The sequence below is a fragment of the Homo sapiens genome, chromosome 15 (genome assembly GCF_000001405.40).
Source record: "Homo sapiens chromosome 15, GRCh38.p14 Primary Assembly".
Classification (NCBI taxonomy): domain Eukaryota; kingdom Metazoa; phylum Chordata; class Mammalia; order Primates; family Hominidae; genus Homo; species Homo sapiens.
Window position 1 is genome coordinate 71,766,698 of NC_000015.10, and position 19,061 is coordinate 71,785,758.

Sequence of the window (19,061 nt, forward strand, 5' to 3'; positions counted from 1 at the left end):
GAGTCTACAAAGAGCCATGCTCACCAGGCCAAGTTGAAGGAGACAAACTTCAAAAACACCCCAAATGTCCGTCAGCAGGTGAACGGACAAACCATGGTGCATCCACACAGCGGAACAAAAAACTCAGCCACAAAAATATGGATGAACTTCCGGTGCGTTTTGCTAAGTAAAAAAAAAAGCCAGGTTCAAAAAACTACGTGTTGTATGAGTCCATCTATATAATATTCTGTAAAAGGAGCAGCTACAAACGCCAAATCAGTGCCTGCTGGAGGATGGGGTGACCACATCTGTGCAATCTGACCGTAGAGGGGCAGCATGGGAATTTTTTGTCTGCAATGAAAATATTTCGTGTCTTGTTTGCGGTAGGAGATACACAACTGTATGAATTTGTCAAAACTGATAGATGTGTATACCACAAAAAGGGACATTTTTAGATGCAAATTTAGAAAATATGAAGTAAATGGTTACTATAATAGCAAAGACTGATGGAAGCTAGACTTCTTTGAATGTACCTTGTTTTACAAATTTGAGTTTGGAACTAAGTAAATATTTTAGATAATCATAAAAGAAAATTAAGTTTTAAAAAAGCAATCCCCCAGAACTGAAAATACAATGAAACAAATTAATGTAAATATGTTTCTAGTTGGTGGCATCAGCACTATTGCAAGTGACTTGAATACATAGTAATTTGACATTCTATCCCTAAAAAAAATTACTGCAGAAGAATGTTCACACTGTTTGCAATTATCCTATTTTTGGTGATAGTGTTGTGCTGGATATGATGATTGGGCATATAATGTGTGAGAAGGTAAATGAGTAATTAGATGATAGTATAATTCTGTTAGCCCCAATATCCTTGAGAAGTAGGATGTTCAAACTTAGGAGAAAGTAGATACAGATACAAGATAGATATTGTATGGCTTAAGTCCGCAATAAAAAGCCTGTTGTCCTGAATTTGAATTGGAAGTGTCAGTATAAACTTAGAAATTATCTCTCTAAAAATCTTTTCTAATTTCACCCACTGAAAGAGTCTAGAATCAGTGACCAATCTCGGGATTCAGAGGGGGTGGCCGCTTCCAGATCTGGGGCAGCATATATGTAAGTTAGGTTGGGATATCTTTTTCTAGCAGGCAGCAAGGAAGTTCTTAAACACAACAGAGCTCATGTCCAAAGCATCCCAGAGCCAACTTGTAGAGGCTCCTGTGAGCCATTGAGCATCAGTAAGAATAATAATACCATAGATTAGATGAAACACATTATATGTGTTTAAATCCATCCATTTACAATGAAGTTTATAATACTTTAAAAAACTGATAAGTCATCATCATAGGATGTTAGGGAACCAACTTATTATTATGAAAACCCGTAAATGAAGGGAAAGATTCAAGTGTTTATGCTTTCTTTCTTAAACGACATACCACTGGGTAACCAAAGAGTAAAGGTGCTGAGGGAATATGATAGAATTAGAATTAGAATTCTAAACTCCCTGTAAACTGATGGATCTGAGCATTGCACATCAGTGGCCACTAACATCCCCAAAAGAGAGGCAGCCCCCCGGAAGTAGTCTCACAAAAAAAACCAAAAAAAAACCCTGCACCTGTTAAGGCCTCTTTTAGGTCCAACTTCCAATGTTCAGGAGATATAGAGCATAGAGGAACACGAATTACACCGTGGGAGCACAGTCAGCAAAATCCAGACTATGGGCAACTGCAGAACAAATGACTCAGTTCCACCCCACCACCGCAACCAAAAACTTTTTAAGTGCAAGAATGAAAAAGACAGTGGAAGGGAAACCTATGGATTGAAAGAGTTGTGAGAGACTTATTGACCAATTGCAACTTGCAGACCTGACGCAGATCCTGATTTTTTTTTTTTTTTTTTTTTTTTGAGACAAAGTCTCACTCTTGCCCAGGCTGGAATGCAGTAGCACCATCTCGGCTCACTGCAACCTCTGCCTCCCAGGTTCACGCCATTCTCCTGCCTCAGCCTCCCAAGTAGCTGGGACTACAGGTGCCCACCACCATGCACGGCTAATTTTTTTGTATTTTTAGTAGAGACGGGGTTTCACCATGTTAGCCAGGATGGTCTCGATCTTCTGACCTCCTCAGCTTCTGACCTGCTCTGCCCGCCTCTGCCTCCCAAAGTGCTGGGATTGCAGATGTGAGCCACTGCGCCCAGCAATCCTGATTTTTAAAGGAAAAAAAATCTGTATTAAAAAATCTTGGCTGGCTGCCCGGCCAGCCGCCCCGTCCGGGAGGGAGGTGGGGGGGTCGGCCCCCCGCCCGGCCAGCCGCCCCGTCCGGGAGGGAGGTGGGCGGGGGGTCAGCCCCTCTGCCCGGCCAGCCGCCCCGTCCGGGAGGTGAGGGGCGCCTCTGCCCGGCCGCCCCTACTGGGAAGTGAGGAGCCCCTCTGCCCGGCCAGCCGCCCCGTCCGGGAGGGAGGTGGGGGGTCAGCCCCCCTGCCCGGCCAGCCGCCCCGTCCGGGAGGGAGGTGGGGGGGTCGGCCCCCCGCCCGGCCAGCCGCCCCGTCCGGGAGGGAGGTGGGGGGGTCGGCCCCCCGCCCGGCCAGCCGCCCCGTCCGGGAGGGAGGTGGGCGGGGGGTCAGCCCCTCTGCCCGGCCAGCCGCCCCGTCCGGGAGGTGAGGGGCGCCTCTGCCCGGCCGCCCCTACTGGGAAGTGAGGAGCCCCTCTGCCCGGCCAACCACCCCGTCTGGGAGGTGTGCCCAACAGCTCATTGAGAACGGGCCAGGATGACAATGGCGGCTTTGTGGAATAGAAAGGCGGGAAAGGTGGGGAAAAGATTGAGAAATCGGATGGTTGCCGTGTCTGTGTAGAAAGAAGTAGACATGGGAGACTTTTCATTTTGTTCTGCACTAAGAAAAATTCCTCTGCCTTGGGATCCTGTTGATCTGTGACCTTACCCCCAACCCTGTGCTCTCTGAAACATGTGCTGTGTCCACTCAGGGTTAAATGGATTAAGGGCGGTGCAAGATGTGCTTTGTTAAACAGATGCTTGAAGGCAGCATGCTCGTTAAGAGTCATCACCAATCCCTAATCTCAAGTAATCAGGGACACAAACACTGCGGAAGGCGGCAGGGTCCTCTGCCTAGGAAAACCAGAGACCTTTGTTCACTTGTTTATCTGCTGACCTTCCCTCCACTATTGTCCCATGACCCTGCCAAATCCCCCTCTGTGAGAAACACCCAAGAATTATCAATAAAAAAAATAAATTTAAAAAAAAAAAAAAAAAAAAAGAATGGACTTTCCCAGGCCAGCTGTGGTGGCTCACGACTGTAATCCCAGCACTGTGGCAGGCCAAGGCGGGCAGATCACCTGAGATCAGGAGTTCAAGACCAGCCTGACCAACACGGAGAAACCCCGTCTCTACTAAAAATAAAAAAAATTAGCTGGGCGTGGTGGTGCATGCCTGTAATCCCAGCTACTTGGGAGGCTGAGGCAGGAGAATTGCTTGAACCCAGGAGGCAGAGGTTGTTGTGAGCTGAGATTGCACTATTGCACTCCAGCCTGGGCAACAAGAGGGAAACTCCATCAAAAAAAAAAAAAAAAAAAAGGACTTTCTCAAAGAAAATGTATTTAAATGTCTGCACCAATAATTCCAGCATGTGTATGAATAAATATGATATGTCCTTTAAAAAAAAAAAAAAAAAAAAAATCTTGGCTGGGTGCAGTGGCTCACGCCTATAATCCCAGCACTTTGGGAGGTCGAGGTGGGCAGATCACCTGAAGTCAGGAGCTTGAGACCAGCCTAGGCAACATGGCGAAACCCCGTCTCTACTAAAAATACAAAACTTAGCCAGGTGTGGTGGCATGCACCTGTAATCCCAGCTACTGGGGAGGCTGAGGCAGCAGAATTGCTTGAACCTGGGAGGTGGAGGTTGCAGCAAGCCGAGATCACGCCACTGCACTCCAGCCTGGGTGACAGAGCAAGACTCCATCTCAAAAAAGAAAAAAATCTATAGGATTCGCAAGATAAGTGGAAGTAGGAACACTGAGTCTATATTGAAGAGAATAAGAAATTATTGTAATTTCTAGGGAGAATAATGATACTGTGGTAATTGTTAAGAGTTCTTGTCTTTTAGAGCTACAGCCTGAAGTATATGGAAGAAGTGATCAGATGTCTAGATTTGCTTCAAAATAGTGGGAGGAGCAGGAGGGCTGGGGATATGGATAGGACACACCTGGCATGAGTTGCTGATTGTTGAAGCTGGTTGATAGGTACATGGGAGTTTGTTTTCATATTCTGTCTCCTTTTGGAAATGTTTGAGATTTTCCAGTGTCTTCTTTCTCCAGTGTGCTGAGCTATTGGTCTGCCCAAAAATCTGATGTTTTCCCTTTGTTCCCATGCAGTGTTCCAAGAGCTGCCAGGGTGGCTTTCGGGTCCGGGAAGTGCGGTGTCTGTCTGATGACATGACTCTAAGTAACCTCTGTGACCCTCAGTTGAAACCAGAAGAGAGAGAATCTTGTAACCCTCAGGACTGTGTCCCTGAAGTTGGTAAGTAGAGATTTCAATCATGGGGGAAAGGTTTGTGTTTTTTAAGCTTGTCAGATTCTCCGGTGTGACAATAACAAGCCTCTTCTAGGTCTTTCTGTGACCTTGCACACAGTCATGGAGTTCAGAGGGTTGAGGTGCTTTTGGTATTATAAATTTCATGGTTTAAGATGATCATTCATAGCGAGGATGGCTGTCTAAGCCACCCACCAAGAGACACACTTTAGTGTGGATTGATTAAAATGGTAATGCCTTCAAAGATTTGGCTCTATCGTCCTTAAGGTCAAAGTAGTAAAATGTCAACTTTTAATTGTAGGTGCAAACCAGTGTAGGCTGGACCATGTGGGGAGATTCTGGGACCTTAGCAGGGAGTTGGCAGAGAAGGGAGGAAGGGGAGGAGGCCAAGAATTGGTAGAGACAGTGATGGAGGGTCTGACCATCTCTCAGAGGGGCGTAGTGCAAGCTGAGTCCAGAGAGATGCAGTGACTAGACTCAAGGAGGAGGAGTGACAGCAGGAAGATCTAGGCCACACAATGGTCAGAGTCCTGCAAAGAACAGCAGTCTTGCAATTCAGAAGACCCCAACCTGCACCCTTGAAATAGGGGCCAGTTTCCTGGAGGAAAGCATTGGAGAGTGTTAGGGAGGTTAGGCCCTCTCATGGGCTGCGGTTCATGAGGAAGGGGCCCATCCCAGCAGGGGAGCTCAAGTACAGCCAGAAAACCAAAGAAGGCACCTCGCACATAGATTGGGCAGATAGGAAGTGTGAGGTGGGTGAAGATGCATCTCCAGAGGCATATTGGATGCCCCAAAGCCCAACTTGAAATCTACTCAGAATGCACCCCCAGGTATAGTCAGGACTGGTTCCAGAATGGAGGTGCACCGAGCCCCTTCAGTAGCTTCTTCACAGTCTGCTAAGAACATATTTACTTTTCTGTCTTCACAATAACATCAAAGGAAATGTATTAATATATCAATAAGCTTTCATGGGGTAGATTCCTCCTGCTGTGGACCAAATTGAAGGTTTTAATATACTGACCTAACATCCTTCCTATCCCAGGGAAGATGTGTCAGTTACAGCATAGATGCTTTATGATCATAAGTTTCCTATGTCCCAGCAATGACCCATGACTAAAGTTATGGGGATGACCATTCCCAGTAGCTACCAAAAAAACCCATAAATTCCATAAGAAGAAAATTAACAAGTTTATAAGATCTATATAGAAAAAATAAATAAAAGTAAGAAAGCCTTGCTATAGAATATAAAGGGAAATGTGAATAGATAGAAACATTAACATGTTCCTGAATGGGAACACTCAATACTATAAAGGTGATAAAAGAAGGTTCCCAAGGGGAGCCGTATGTGCCATATATTGGAACATATTATAAAGCTACAGAAACTAAAACTATTAGGTTGGTGCAAAAGTAATTGTGGTTTTTGCCATTATTTTCAAAGCTGCATTTACTTTTGCACAAACCTGATATATGATATAGGCATACCATATACCAACGTTATAATGCAGAATTCTGAAACAGACTCCTTTATAAAGGAAAGTTAAGTTTGATAAAGGGGGAATGATAAGTAAGTGGGGAGAGGAGAGGCTTCCATTGTATTGAGACCACACTGAAGATCCCTTTAAAAATATAAAATATATAAATGTCTAATGGATTAAAGACTCTAACAGAGAAAACAGTCTGTAAAAATGCTAGAAAAAAGTATCTTGGGCTGGATGCAATGGCTCACACCTGTAATTCCAGCACTTTGGGAGGCCAAGATGGGAGGATTGCTTGAGCCCAGCAGTTCAAGACCAGCCTGGGAAACCCCATCTTGGCAAAAAACGCTTAAAAATTAGCTGGGCATGGTAGGGCATGCCCATGGTCCCGGCTAATTAGGAAGCTGAGGTAGGAGGATCACTTGAACTCAAGAGGTCAAGGCTGCAGTGAGGTGCAATCGCACCACTGCACTCCAGCCTAGGAGACAGAGTGAGACCATGTCTCAAAAAAAAAAAAAAAGAAAAAGAAAAAAGAAAAGAAAAAAAAGTTATACACATAAAGCTGCCTGTTTGTCTCAGGCCAGATAATATAACTAAAGACAATCAAAATCACCAGGTCCTTGGAATTGATTGTGTAATTCTCAAAGCTAGGAATGACTGGCATAAGCAAATCAGGTACTCTGAAGAGCTGTCACTCAGCTGCCTCACTATGTCAAAGGCTTCTAGCTAATATAATATAATACAAAATGTGTTGCCACTGTTTTTGTCTTCTGTATTTGTCTATGGTATCTTTTCAAGCAGGGGAAATTGTCTAACTTCTAATTATATAAAATCCAACTAGAGAAAAAAAGGGAAACTATGAGATTAACAAAACAGAATATGTAGACAAAGCCTTGGTATTCTTTGATGTGCCTCAAAATTATACCTGTCAATGCCAAAGTTACTAAAGATGTCCAGGCCACAAGCCAGAGTTATGACACACACTTCGGTATATCCCAGAGGGCTGCTGATAGCAAGAATCTGTGTAGGCTCTGAAGGAAAAGAAGGCTCAAGTGCACATTTTGATGATGCTGCTGAAGAAGAAAATAGTACCTGAGTACATGGGTACATGTGTGCTGTTGTCAGCTTTTTGAAATCTGCATATAATCTTTCATTTAATCCCAGAGTGACATGATTAAATCATCCTACAATTGATAGCATCTTAAAATCAAATAAATGTCACTCAAGTAGACAGAAAATTAAATCCCCAATATAGACAGAACTCACTCAATTTTTTAAAAAAGACAAGTGGTCCAGTTTTGTAAAGGATAAAGGAAATGAACAAACTCACCACAGGGCCGGGTGCGGTGGCTCATACCTGTAGTCCCAGCACTTCGGGAGGCTGAAACCGGTGGATCACTTGGGCCAGGAGTTTGAGACCAGCCTGGGCAACATGGTGAAATCCTTCTCTACAAAAAATATAAAAATTAGCCAGGTGTGGTGGCGCATGCCTATAGTCCCAGCTACTTGGAAGGCTGAGGTGGGAGAATCACCTGAGCCCAGGAAGTCGAGGAAGCAGTGAGCCATGATCGCACTACTGCACTCCAGCCTGAGTGACAGAGTGAGACTCTGTCTCAAAAAAAAAAAAAAAAACTACAAGAGGCTGAAGAAATGCTCAAGCTACTAGTAATCAGAAATGCAAATTTTAAAAATAATGGGAGTCCATGTTTTTCCATAAGATTGGCAAGCTTTTAAAATATTAGACAATGTTTGTTCATTGTTGGCAACCGCATGGGGGATAGGTCAAGTGGCAACTCGTAACTTGGTGTAAACTTTTTGAAGAGAATTTTATCAATATCTATCAAGATACAAAGATATTATTACCTTTGACTTAATAATTTCACTTCTAGGAATATATACTAAAAATATGCTTTCAAAAATGTACAGGGGCACACACATGCAAAGAATAGGGCTCATCGGGTGTGCCACCTACTCAGGACGCAGAGGCAGGAGGATCACTTGAGCCCAGGAACCCGAACTGTGGCTGCCCCTATGAACAGTCACGGCACCTCAGCCTGAGCAACACAGAAAGACCCCATCTCTGAAAAAAAAAAAAATAGGGCTTAATGAATTGTGTAGAATTAATGAATGAACCGTACAATTTCTTGTAACTTATAAAAATTGGAAGCAAGCTGGGCGACGTGACTCACACCTGTAATCCCAGCACTTTGGGAGGCCAAGGCAGGCGGATCATGAGGTCAGGATATTGAGACCAGCCTGGCTAACACAGTGAAACCCCATCTCTACTAAAAATACATAAAATTAGCCAGGCATGGTGGCACGTGCATGTAGTCCCAGCTACTCAGGAGGCTGAGGCAGGAGAATCGCTTGAACCCGGGAGGCGGAGGTTGCGGTGAGCCGATATCATGCCATTGCACTCCAGCCTGCGCAACAAGAGCAAAACTCCATCTCAAAAAAAAAAATTAGAAGCAATTACATTTCTATAACTAGAAGGAAATGACTTATTTAATTATGTTCCAGCACATAGGACAAAATACAGACACCCCAAAAAAGAAGATGGTAGATATTATGATACAAAAAATTATCTAAATATATTTATGAGTAATATTTTAAAAAGCAAGCAGCTGAGAAGTATATTGTCAGTTCTTTCCCAAAGTAATCTATAAATGGAAGCAATATTAATCAAAATCCAGGCAAGGTTTTTCATAGAAAAATCTGACAACCTGTGTCTAAAGTTTATGTGGTGGCTCACGCCTGTAATCTCAGCACTTCGGGAGGCCAAGGCAGGCAGATCACTTGAGCTGGAGTGGGAGACCAGCCTGGGCAACATGGTGAAACCCTATCTCTACTAAAAATACGAAAAAAATTAGCCAAGTGTGGCAGCATGTGCCTGTAATCCCAGCTACTCGGGAGGCTGAGGCAGGAGAAAGGCTTGGACCCGGGAGGCAGAGATTGCAATGAGCTGAGATAGAGCCACTGTATTCCAGCCTGGGTGATACAGCGAGACTCCGTCTCAAAAAAAATAAAATAAATAAAATAAAATAAATAGAAGTTTATATGGAAGAGCAAAAGCAAGGAACCAAGAAGAGCCAAGGCTGTTTTGATGATTAACCATGTTGAGGGACTTTTCCTACCACATATCAAGGCATCTTGGCACAAGGATGGATAAAAAAAGCAAGGAGAGCAGAATAGGCCAGAAATACACATATAAAGGATGTGTGATATATGATGGAGGTCATATTATGAAGCTGTGGGGAAAAGATGAACAATTCAATAAATGGTCATGAGACAATTGTTTATCCATATACAAGGAAAAAAACAAGAAAACTGAACTCCCTCCTCTCATCCTACACATACCATACACTCCACAAACCCTAATTCCTGGTGGATTAGTCAAAAGAATGTGAAAAGAACATTTTAAAACTTTTAGAAGAGAACAGGGAAATTTATATTTTATTTCAGAGTACAGAAGGGTTTTTTAAATGAAACCAACAATTCCAAACCACAAAGGAAAACATATTATAATATCAATTACATTAAAATTAAAAATCTCTGTTTATCAATCAACACCAGAAGCAAAGTGATCAGAAAAGCCACAGGCTGAAGAAGATATTTGCAGCACATATAACCTAACTCACAAAGGATCAGATCCATTAGATATAAAGAATTTTCGTGAATCATTTTTTAAAGTTAACTAAATCAGAAAATGAGCAAAAGATCAGAAAAGCAATTCACAGAAAAGGAAGCTTGAATGGCAAATATACATGATATGTTCAGCCTCACGTGGGAATCATTTCACATTCACTAGCTCAGCAAAAACTAAAACATATGGCAAAAAGAGAATTCTTCTGTTTCACTGACAGGAACATAAACAGTTATACCGACTTTGGAGAGCAAACTGACTGTATCTAGCAAAGTTGGATATACCTTATGACCCAGCAAGGCCCAGGCAGAGGATGGTAACAAAACTACTTAAAAGCATTGTTTGCACTAGAAAAAAAAAATTGGATTAATGTCCAACTTAAATGTCCATCAATAGAAAATGATTAAATTGTGGATTATATACACAAGAAAATTCAATAATGAAAATATAGCATTCATCAAATATGAATGAATCGCACAAATTCAATGTCGAGCAAGTTGCCAAGGAGCTTATACAGTATGTATCTTTTATGTTTAAATGTCACAGAGTGGTGAGGGATTCCCTCACATAGAGTTTAAGTGTAAAGAAATGTTTGGGGATAAGAAACGCCAAATTTGGAACTTCTGATTACCTCTGGAGTGATGAGGATGAAGGAGGAAGTGATCAGAGAGAAGTGAGGACACAGATGAGTAACTTATTCTCTATACCTATTTCCCTTATCGTGTTTAAAAGAAAGAGAAAAACCTGTGAGCCCTTGGCACACATTCATACCCCACAATGGTAATAAACAGCAGCGCAGGAGTTAAAGCCACAGCCACTGCCCTTTCTCTTCCCACTGGTCCAGGCTGCCTCTTGTGCTCAGGGAGTCTTCTGTTCATTCTCTTTCGCTACAGATGAAAACTGCAAGGACAAGTACTACAACTGCAACGTGGTGGTCCAGGCAAGACTCTGTGTCTACAACTACTACAAGACCGCCTGCTGTGCCTCCTGCACCCGTGTGGCCAACAGGCAGACGGGCTTCCTGGGGAGCAGATAACACTCCTGCACCCCCATCAGTAGGGCAGCATCACTGCCTTCCCGGGGGCTTCAGCAGTGCGCCTGGCTGGCTGCTGCTCCACCACGGGCCCCCTGGCCCAGGCGCTGCCAACCAACTTAGTCACCACCCCTGCCTCCGGTGAATGCACCCCGTGGTACCCAGGGGCTTTTTACACAAGATGTTTGAAAGCCACAGTCAGTCCTTTAAGCATCACCATGTACTGATGATCCCCTCCTTGGACCTGGCATCTGCTAATGGTGCCCTTTGAAAGTCAAGCAGTGGGAAGTACATGGAGCTCTCAGCCCTGCTCCCATCTGGCACCTTCAAGTCAGCAGATGGGCCACTGACTGAGCACTGCCCCGTCCCTGGTGCTACTGGTCTTTCTAAACTTAGCACCCTGGAGAGTCCAAGGAGGCAGCGCCCCCAACCCAGCGCCCCACTAAGCCTTGCTGACACGCGTGCATCCCTCTGTGACCTCAGCCCAGATGTGCCTGTTTTCATTCTCAAAGACATTAGACTGTTTTCCTGCCCTATGACACAGATAGCTCACATGAATATTGTGCTTTATTTAGCAGGTGTACTCACAGATACTAGCTCCTTAGCAGCTCACAACATCCCAGAATGGGAGGCAGGGGGTGACTCATTATCCCCATTTTACTGACAGGGAAACTGAGGCTCAACTTAAGTAATTGACCTGCCAGGTATATTCACCCATCCAGTGGAAGAGCTGAGTCCCCGCCCCAGTCATCTACCAGTATCCAGCCTGGGGCCTGTACTTAGATGTGAAAGGTGCTGCTTCATTTCTGACCAAGAGACTGAGAAGTTTCCCAGAATGCAAACAAAGCCCAGGCCCCTGAAATCTTTCCGGTCAAGCCTTTATCCCAGCACTCAGTTGTTTTGGATGTCTGTTCCTACTTGCCCTTACCCCCAAAGTTACAGATCCTAGTTACAGGACTCTGCCAGCTTTGTTAAACTGTCCGTGAGACAAGAAAGCCATTGGGGAAACCAGGTGATTGCCTGAAATTCTTACTCCGTTCCAAGTGCTGTTCCTCCCAGGAAATCAAAGGCCAGGGTCCTTATGGCCGTGGAGCCTTCCCGACCACAGAGCCAACTTGTGAAGCACACAGCTCTGCAGCCTGGGCTCTGCCCTGCCTCAGCCGCCTCCCCCACGCTCTTCACCACGTTCCTGGAGAGTCCGGCCAACCTGTCCCAGCCGAAACACTGCTGTATTAGAAAAAGTCTCTTTCTGGTCTTTCTGGTTTTGTTTATGAATTTCCCTCTGTGGCCACAAATTCCTCCCCTCCCCCATGACTCACAGTCCATATGGCCCACCCCCAGACTTGAGCACCAAGCTCTGCATTAATGCAGTTGGCCTGCGACAAGGAGCTGTGGACCCTTCCCCATCTCTTCCAATTCACTTTCCCCAACTATCCAGTTCCAGAGGCCGCAGGCCTGGAAGGATGCAGTGCATATTGAAAGGTGGACCCTCTGAAAACAGTTAAGAGGAATATATGTATGTTTTACCCATTAAGAAAAAATGGCAAGCTAAACAAATGTTAAACTTACAGAAAATTTGTCTTATGGTCCTGAGCATATTTCCCTTTTAGAGCAAGCCTGGATTCTTAGCAAAGTGTTTCCCCCATTTGCTCTTTTAGCTGACAAATCTGCCACTGTGATGATGGTTTGCAGCTTTTGGAAGCAGTATGGCAACCTGGCCTGACATGCTCTTTAGGCTTCCACTAACCTGGGGCTTTCAGAAATTCTATTTGGCCTTTCTGTGGGTAGCTTTCCAGCTTCTCTTCTAGGGAGCCCCAGGCATCATTTCCCAAAAGCATCCCCATCTCCTGATTCTCTTGGAACTCCTACAGATAAGCATCCTGGCAGAGGCCCAGGCTCCCAAACCGACAAAGTGAAAAGAGACCAGAGAGGCCAAGCATATTGACTGGTGCTGTTCAGGGCCTGCTCTTTTCCACTCACCACTTGTTTTGCTGCTTGTCACGAGGAGAGTTGTTCCTGTATGTGGCTGCTCTCAGATCTTTCCAAGCAAGCCAGTCATTTGAAGAGGTTTTCTTTTCATGCTGGAGGGCAGGCTAAGATCAATGAGTGGAAGAGAGAAAGGCTGTTTTAGCTCAAGTTAAAGGAACACCTTCTAGCCATCAAAGCCGCCCAACAGAGGCAAGGGCCACCACACATGAGAGAGCGCTCTGTCCTTAAAGGGAATTCTCTGTTGAGTGGGAGGTGAACACCCTGGTTCTTCCAACTCAGGAATTCTCGTGGCTGGGCTGGGTCAGTGATGGCTTTGTCTCTTTATGTCTAAAGTGCCCTATGGCTGCTGAAGGTTACCTAACCATTCTTTAAAAGGAGAATGACCCTCCATGGGAATGGCCAGCCTGCCAACTGTGCAATTGAAGAAGACCCGATGGATCAACCCCATGTCTCCCTTGGGGAGAAAGTGCATAAACCAGGGGTCTCTTTTTTTTTTTCAACAAACCATTGAGCTGTTCTTGGAGTTCATCTCTGGAGAGGTTATACATTATTAGAAGTTTGATTATTATTATAGTTTGATCAATTTATTTGTCTTAGAGATCCAATTTTTACTAATTCCCTAGTTTTTTATTTCAGCATCTGAATGTCTTTCTCCCTAGCACAGTGCATACAATCAGGGCCTTGGGTATTTCCAGTGATAACTTTCCTTGGAGAGGATCTAAGAAAAGCCCAGATTTCGGTAGCCATCTCCCTCCAAATATGTCTCTTTCTGCTTTCTTAGTGCCCATTATTTCCCCCTCTCCTTTCTTCTGTCACTGCCATCTCCTTCTTGGTCTTCCCATTGTTCTTTAACTGGCCGTAATGTGGAATTGATATTTACATTTTGATACGGTTTTTTTCTTGGCCTGTGTACGGGATTGCCTCATTTCCTGCTCTGAATTTTAAAATTAGATATTAAAGCTGTCATATGGTTTCCTCACAAAAGTCAACAAAGTCCAAACAAAAATAGTTTGCCGTTTTACTTTCATCCATTGAAAAAGGAAATTGTGCCTCTTGCAGCCTAGGCAAAGGACATTTAGTACTATCGATTCTTTCCACCCTCACGATGACTTGCGGTTCTCTCTGTAGAAAAGGGATGGCCTAAGAAATACAACTAAAAAAACAAACAAAAACACCAAAAGAAAAAAAAAAGCCATTTAAAGCCAGCCACTAGAGGGAGTCAGTTCAGTTCCGTAAAGGTATGCTCAGTGCCCGCTGCCTGCAAGCTGTTGGGGACCCCAGGGAGGGCAAGGCAGCCTGTCCCCGCCCCCAGGGAACTAGAACATGACAAGAATTCTCCGCACTGTGCCTACCTGTCCCTTTACCTTACCTCTCTGGCCCAGAGTTCTTGGAGGGTTTTTTCTTTATTTTCTTATGTACTCATCTACTTATTCTCAAAGTATTTAGCATTCAACACTCTTTTTGCTTTAAAAAGAATGGCCTTACAAAGGGACAGAAAAGAGAAGACACGAGCTTGGTGTATTTTCATCAAGTTATGTGGCAGAGAAATCCAGATATTACCAGGACCTGTCTAAACAAATGTTGTGGGTTTTCTTTTCATTCGGATAGCCACTTTATAGTTGGAATATCAATTCTAATGAGGAGGAAGACATAAATATAAGTGGTAAAAAGAAACATGACTTCCCTTAAAACAGGCTGGATAATCTATATCAGCCTTGTGGGTGGAGACTAGTATTTGATCCTTGCCATATAAAACATTTTAATATGGTTTACATGGGAAAATATCGATGGCTTCCTCACAAAATGTATGGGTGACGTGAAGTTGAAGAGCCAATGGCTTGGGTGACACGTGCTGGATCCAAAAAGATCAGGGAGACTAGAATAAAACTTGGATGTTAAAAATTCACCAGGAATCCACATAAAGTACTATATTTGGGCTAAAATGAAAAACTAAATACAAGGTGGGAGAGAGGCAAGAATTTCAGTTGACTAAGCTCAGTGTGAGTCAAAGTGGGATGGAACCATGCAAAAACAAAACCCACAGACATGCAGGCTACGTGAGGAGAAAACAGTGGTGAGGATCACATCACATTGTGTTTGCATTTGCCGGAACCATACTTTAAGAAGAAAACCGATCATCTATAATAACATCAGTTTATCAATGCCCCGTCCTGATGAAGTGTGCAGACTCTCAGAAACAGCAGGAAGGACTTCATGAGAACCCTCAGGCTGGAGAAGGCACTAGGGCACAAGGAGAGCTCTCCTAGGACCAGGACCAAGAAGCTACAGGCAGGCACAGTTTAGCTCCTGCAGAGACCCAGCTTTTCACAAGTTGGAGCCTTCCAGAGATAGAGGGACTGTGGTAGGTGGTGACCCACCCATCACTGGAGGTGGAAGCAGAGGCCGTTTGCCAGGGATGCTGGAGAGGGGATTCAAGCATCTGGCTGGGCAACGTGATGCTCAGGGCCGTCTCCACTCAGGGCTTAGGGGAGTCTGTGAGTAGAAGAGCTTTAGGTGATTTGTTTGGTGGGGGAAGGCAAGTACACAGCTATGCACTTTCCGTTTCTGACTTTTGCCACCCTGTCAGCCATGGGGAGCCCACTGTGGGACTGAAACCCTGAGCTGAATGCGGCCTCATGTCTCAGAGAAACACTGGCAAGTTGGTCAGAGCCGCCGTCTGCATCGAGGCGTAGCTGAGCGGCAGGATGGGGGGCTGCCTGCCCAGGGTCTCTCACCGTGGTGTAAGCAGAGCCATGGCTTGCCTAGGACCCTATAGATACCATCACTCTTTCTCAGCTCGACTGGAGTTTCTGCACCTTTGCAGGGGCAAAGTAACTCCCTGCACCCTGAACCACCCCCCATTCCTGTTCATTTCAGCAGATAATGATGGAGGGGGGGGGTGTCCATCGTGCTGAGGGTGTGACCGCAAGAGGGTGAAAACTTCCAGCCAACTTTCTCAGTCCTTTCTCTTGCGAGAGGGAAGCCACCTGCTATACAAACTAATACCCCCTGCCTTGACCCCTTCCCCACGACTCAGTTGACAGAAGGATATACTTTGTTATAACTTATTATTTTGTTCTCTGTAAATACAAGATGTTTATAGGAAATATGTATTCTGAACTCTATCTGCAGAATGAGTCACTACACCAAAATAGTTCTATTATTTAGAATGTGTTAATTTTAAAGGGACCTGATAGGTATTTATTTACATATGCGATCCACATTTGTGTGAAAGCATGTGATCATACTAACCCAGCCTCCTGGAATGTCGCTGTACGATGATTGATGTCTTTTTCTCAGTCCATAGTTACAATTGTTTAGTATGCTAATCAGTCCAGTTCCCTGAGGTTTAAGATCAAATATAAATTACTCTGCTTTTCGACTCATTCAGGTAGCATTGTACCTGAACCTGATTGCTACTTTTTCATCTTAAATATTATATTTCCTCATCTAATCTGCCTTCCCCTCATCCACAGACATTTGGAGAAGGAAATGGGAGGGTGTCTGTTATCCCTTTCTCTTTGCTTTGTCCCCGTTGTTAGACTGGCAGCGTCAGTTGCTCGGTGGGCTTGGTTAGAGCCGTGGGTGAGGCAGGTGGCTGGCGGGGACAGGGAGAGGCTGAGAGGGAAGTGGTGGCATTTACTGCTCTGACACTTCCACTGTCCCTGCTGGGGATGCTGGGGCCAAGGCCTGTGGGGCCTGTGAACTGCACAGCCAGGAGCAAGGAACCCACTAAATACTCCGTCACCTCCATGTCCCCTCTACAGTGTTAAATTATTACATAAGCAGGTGAAAGGTAGAAGGCGAATTATGTGAGTAAATATGGTCTGTTTTCTCTTCAGCAAAAATGACTATTTTTGTGTGTGACTAATTTATTTTTATTATTGTAAAGATACAATAAACCGGTTGAAATATCTGCTTTGTTGACAAGCGTGTGCTTTCTCTGGCCTTATTCGCGTTCTGTTCTCCTGCAAATAGCGCCCTCTAAAAAGAAGAGTCAGACAATAAACTGGTTGAAATATCTGCTTTGTTGACAAGCGTGTGCTTTCTCTGGCCTTATTCACGTTCTGTTCTCCTACAAATAGCCCCCTCTAAAAATAAAACTCAGACCCTTGAGAGGTCAGCCGCTTGTAGACGTTGGCTTTGGGTGCTTGAGGTGGAGCCGGGCCAGTTAGAGAATGAGACACGCCTTAGAAAGAACATGAGCCCACCCGTCCTATGTTAGGCTGCATTAGACTCACCTGAGAAGCTTAAAGTGAAGTCGTCAGGCGTGTGCACCGCGCCCAGGATGCAATCTCACATGAATTTCTTTATGTCTCCCCCAGGGAATTGTGCAGAATAGGTTGGCAGCCACTCTGCTGGTTTGGTGGGGCTCCATCTCTAACTTGAATTAATCTTCCTCCAGCTCCCTCTAGCTGACTTCACTTGGGGCTTGATTTTAGCAAAGTGTTCGACAAAATCTTTCAGGCGATCTTGGTGCAAAATAAAGTGAAACGCGACTAAGATGGTGATGCCAGTTGAAGCCCACCCTGGCCTAGAGAGCAGTCTCTAGCGAAGCCTGCAAGCTCTGCTACGGACTCCGTCCTGGACAGCATGTCGTCAATAACTCAGAAACCAGCTCTATGCCTAAAATGCTATCGCCCACCCTTCCCATCCACCTTTTTGCCTGGAAAAACCTCCATTCTTTTTTTATTGTGGTAAAATCCACTTTACATAAAATTCACTATTTTAACTTTTTTTTTTTTTTTTTTTTTTGACAGAGTCTCACTCTGTAGCCCAAGCTGGAGTGCAGTGGCGTGATCTTGGCTCACTGCAACCTCTGCCCCCGGGGCTCAAGCGATTCTGGTGCCTCAGCCTCCCAAGTAGCTGGGACTACAGGTGTGCCCCACCATGCCCAGCTAATGTTTTGTATTTTAGTAGAGACAGGGTTTCACCATGTTACCCGGGGTGGTCTCAAATTCCTGAGCTCAAGCAACCCGCCCCCGTCAGCCTCCCAAAGTGCTGGGATTACAGGCGTGAGCCACTGCGCCTGGCCTCCATTTTAACCATTTCCAAACGTACAACTCACTAGTATTTAAAGCAACCACAGTGTTGGGCAACCATCACCCCAAAATTCCATTTATTCTTCAACAGTTCAATACAGGAGTCCACCAGGCGCCGGCCACTCTGCTGAGCACACTTACATGAGCTCATTTCGTCTTCACAGCAAACCTATGAAGTTCAAATATTGTTTCCTCCTACAGATGAGAATATTGAGACTAGGAGAGGTTTGGTACCCCAGCTGATACTTGGTGGTGCTAGGATGCCACAGTCCTCTTCCCCTAGAGGCTGAGGCTTGTCTCTTTGCCGCCTCCATCTCCCCGGGGCCTGGCATGTTATATGGTTCCAGCCTATACTAGTTCCAACCTCTTTCTCCACATCAGTTTCAGTCACTGGGCAACAATTGCACAAGGACTGGTTGAAAAAGTCCAGCGCTGCCCATCCTACCCGGGCTCAGTGTGACCAATGTGATCTGAGGCGGCTTCTGGAGGAGTGCACCCCCCACCAGGGGGAGGCAGTGAGCCTGCTCTGCGCAAGGGGCAGACCCAGGCTGGGACCCTCTGCCTCCAGTTCCGGGGACCACATGTCATAAGGTTTATTGACTGTCTGGAAAAAGCCCAGAGGATGGTAGGATGGTGACCAGGATGGAGGGGTTCTGGAAGGAGGGCTGTCTTCAACCTTCAGACAATTTAAAGTACTGTCAGGGACAGATGACAAGAACCCGGACTCCTCCAGCAGACCAGGGCAGGGATGTGACTGGGAGTCAGACTTGGTTCAAAATGAGACGTTTCCAGTAATCAGAGAGGCTGAACAATGGGAAAAGACACTTTAAGAGACAGGGCCAGGGGCAGTGGCTCATGCCTGTAATCCCAGCACTTTGGGAGGCCGAGGTGGGCAGATCACTCAGAAGTTCGAAAGTAGCCTCAGCAACATGGCAAAACTCCATCTCTACAAAAATACAAATACTTAGCTGGGTGTGGTGGTGCACACCTGTAATCCCAGCTACTCAGCAGGCAGAGGTGGGAGGATCACTTGAGCCTGGGTGGCAGAGGTTACAGTGAGCCGAGATCGAGCCACTGCTGTCCAGCCTGGGTGACAGAGTGAGATCCTGTCTCAAAAAAAAAAGAGAGAGAGTGAGTGAGACCCCCAAAAAAGTGATCAGGAACATTTTAGGAGAGGGAAAATTTGAATATGGGCTGTATTTAAGATGACATCATTGGCCGGACACAGTGGCTCACGCCTGTAATCCCAGCACTTTGGGAGGCCAAGGTGGGTGGATTGCTTGAGCCCAGGAGTTCGAGACCAGCCTGGGCAACATGGCAAAACCCTGTCTCTACTAAAAACACAAAAATTAGCTG

The 19,061-nt window shown here is 45.2% G+C and overlaps 1 protein-coding gene across 10 annotated transcripts in view, besides 1 other annotated feature; it reads left to right on the plus strand.

Annotated features, from left to right (window-relative positions):
* THSD4 (thrombospondin type 1 domain containing 4) overlaps nucleotides 1–16,686 on the plus strand; it is a 686,490-nt gene extending 669,804 nt beyond the window's left edge. For all 10 annotated transcript variants that reach the window (NM_001394532.1, NM_024817.3, XM_047433080.1 and 7 more), the window contains 2 exons: nucleotides 4,367–4,511; nucleotides 10,535–16,686. In NM_001394532.1, coding sequence (NP_001381461.1) covers nucleotides 4,367–4,511; nucleotides 10,535–10,677 — 288 coding nt within the window. In that variant the 3' untranslated portion in view covers nucleotides 10,678–16,686. The remainder of the gene's footprint in view (nucleotides 1–4,366; nucleotides 4,512–10,534) is intronic.
* Nucleotides 15,263–15,352: an enhancer, noted in NCBI's record as "active region_9705". NCBI's record gives its function as "activates an Ori minimal core promoter by ATAC-STARR-seq in GM12878 lymphoblastoid cells {active_cell/tissue: GM12878}" and the evidence as "EXISTENCE:reporter gene assay evidence [ECO:0000049][PMID:35858748]".
* Nucleotides 16,687–19,061: the final 2,375 nt, after the last annotated feature.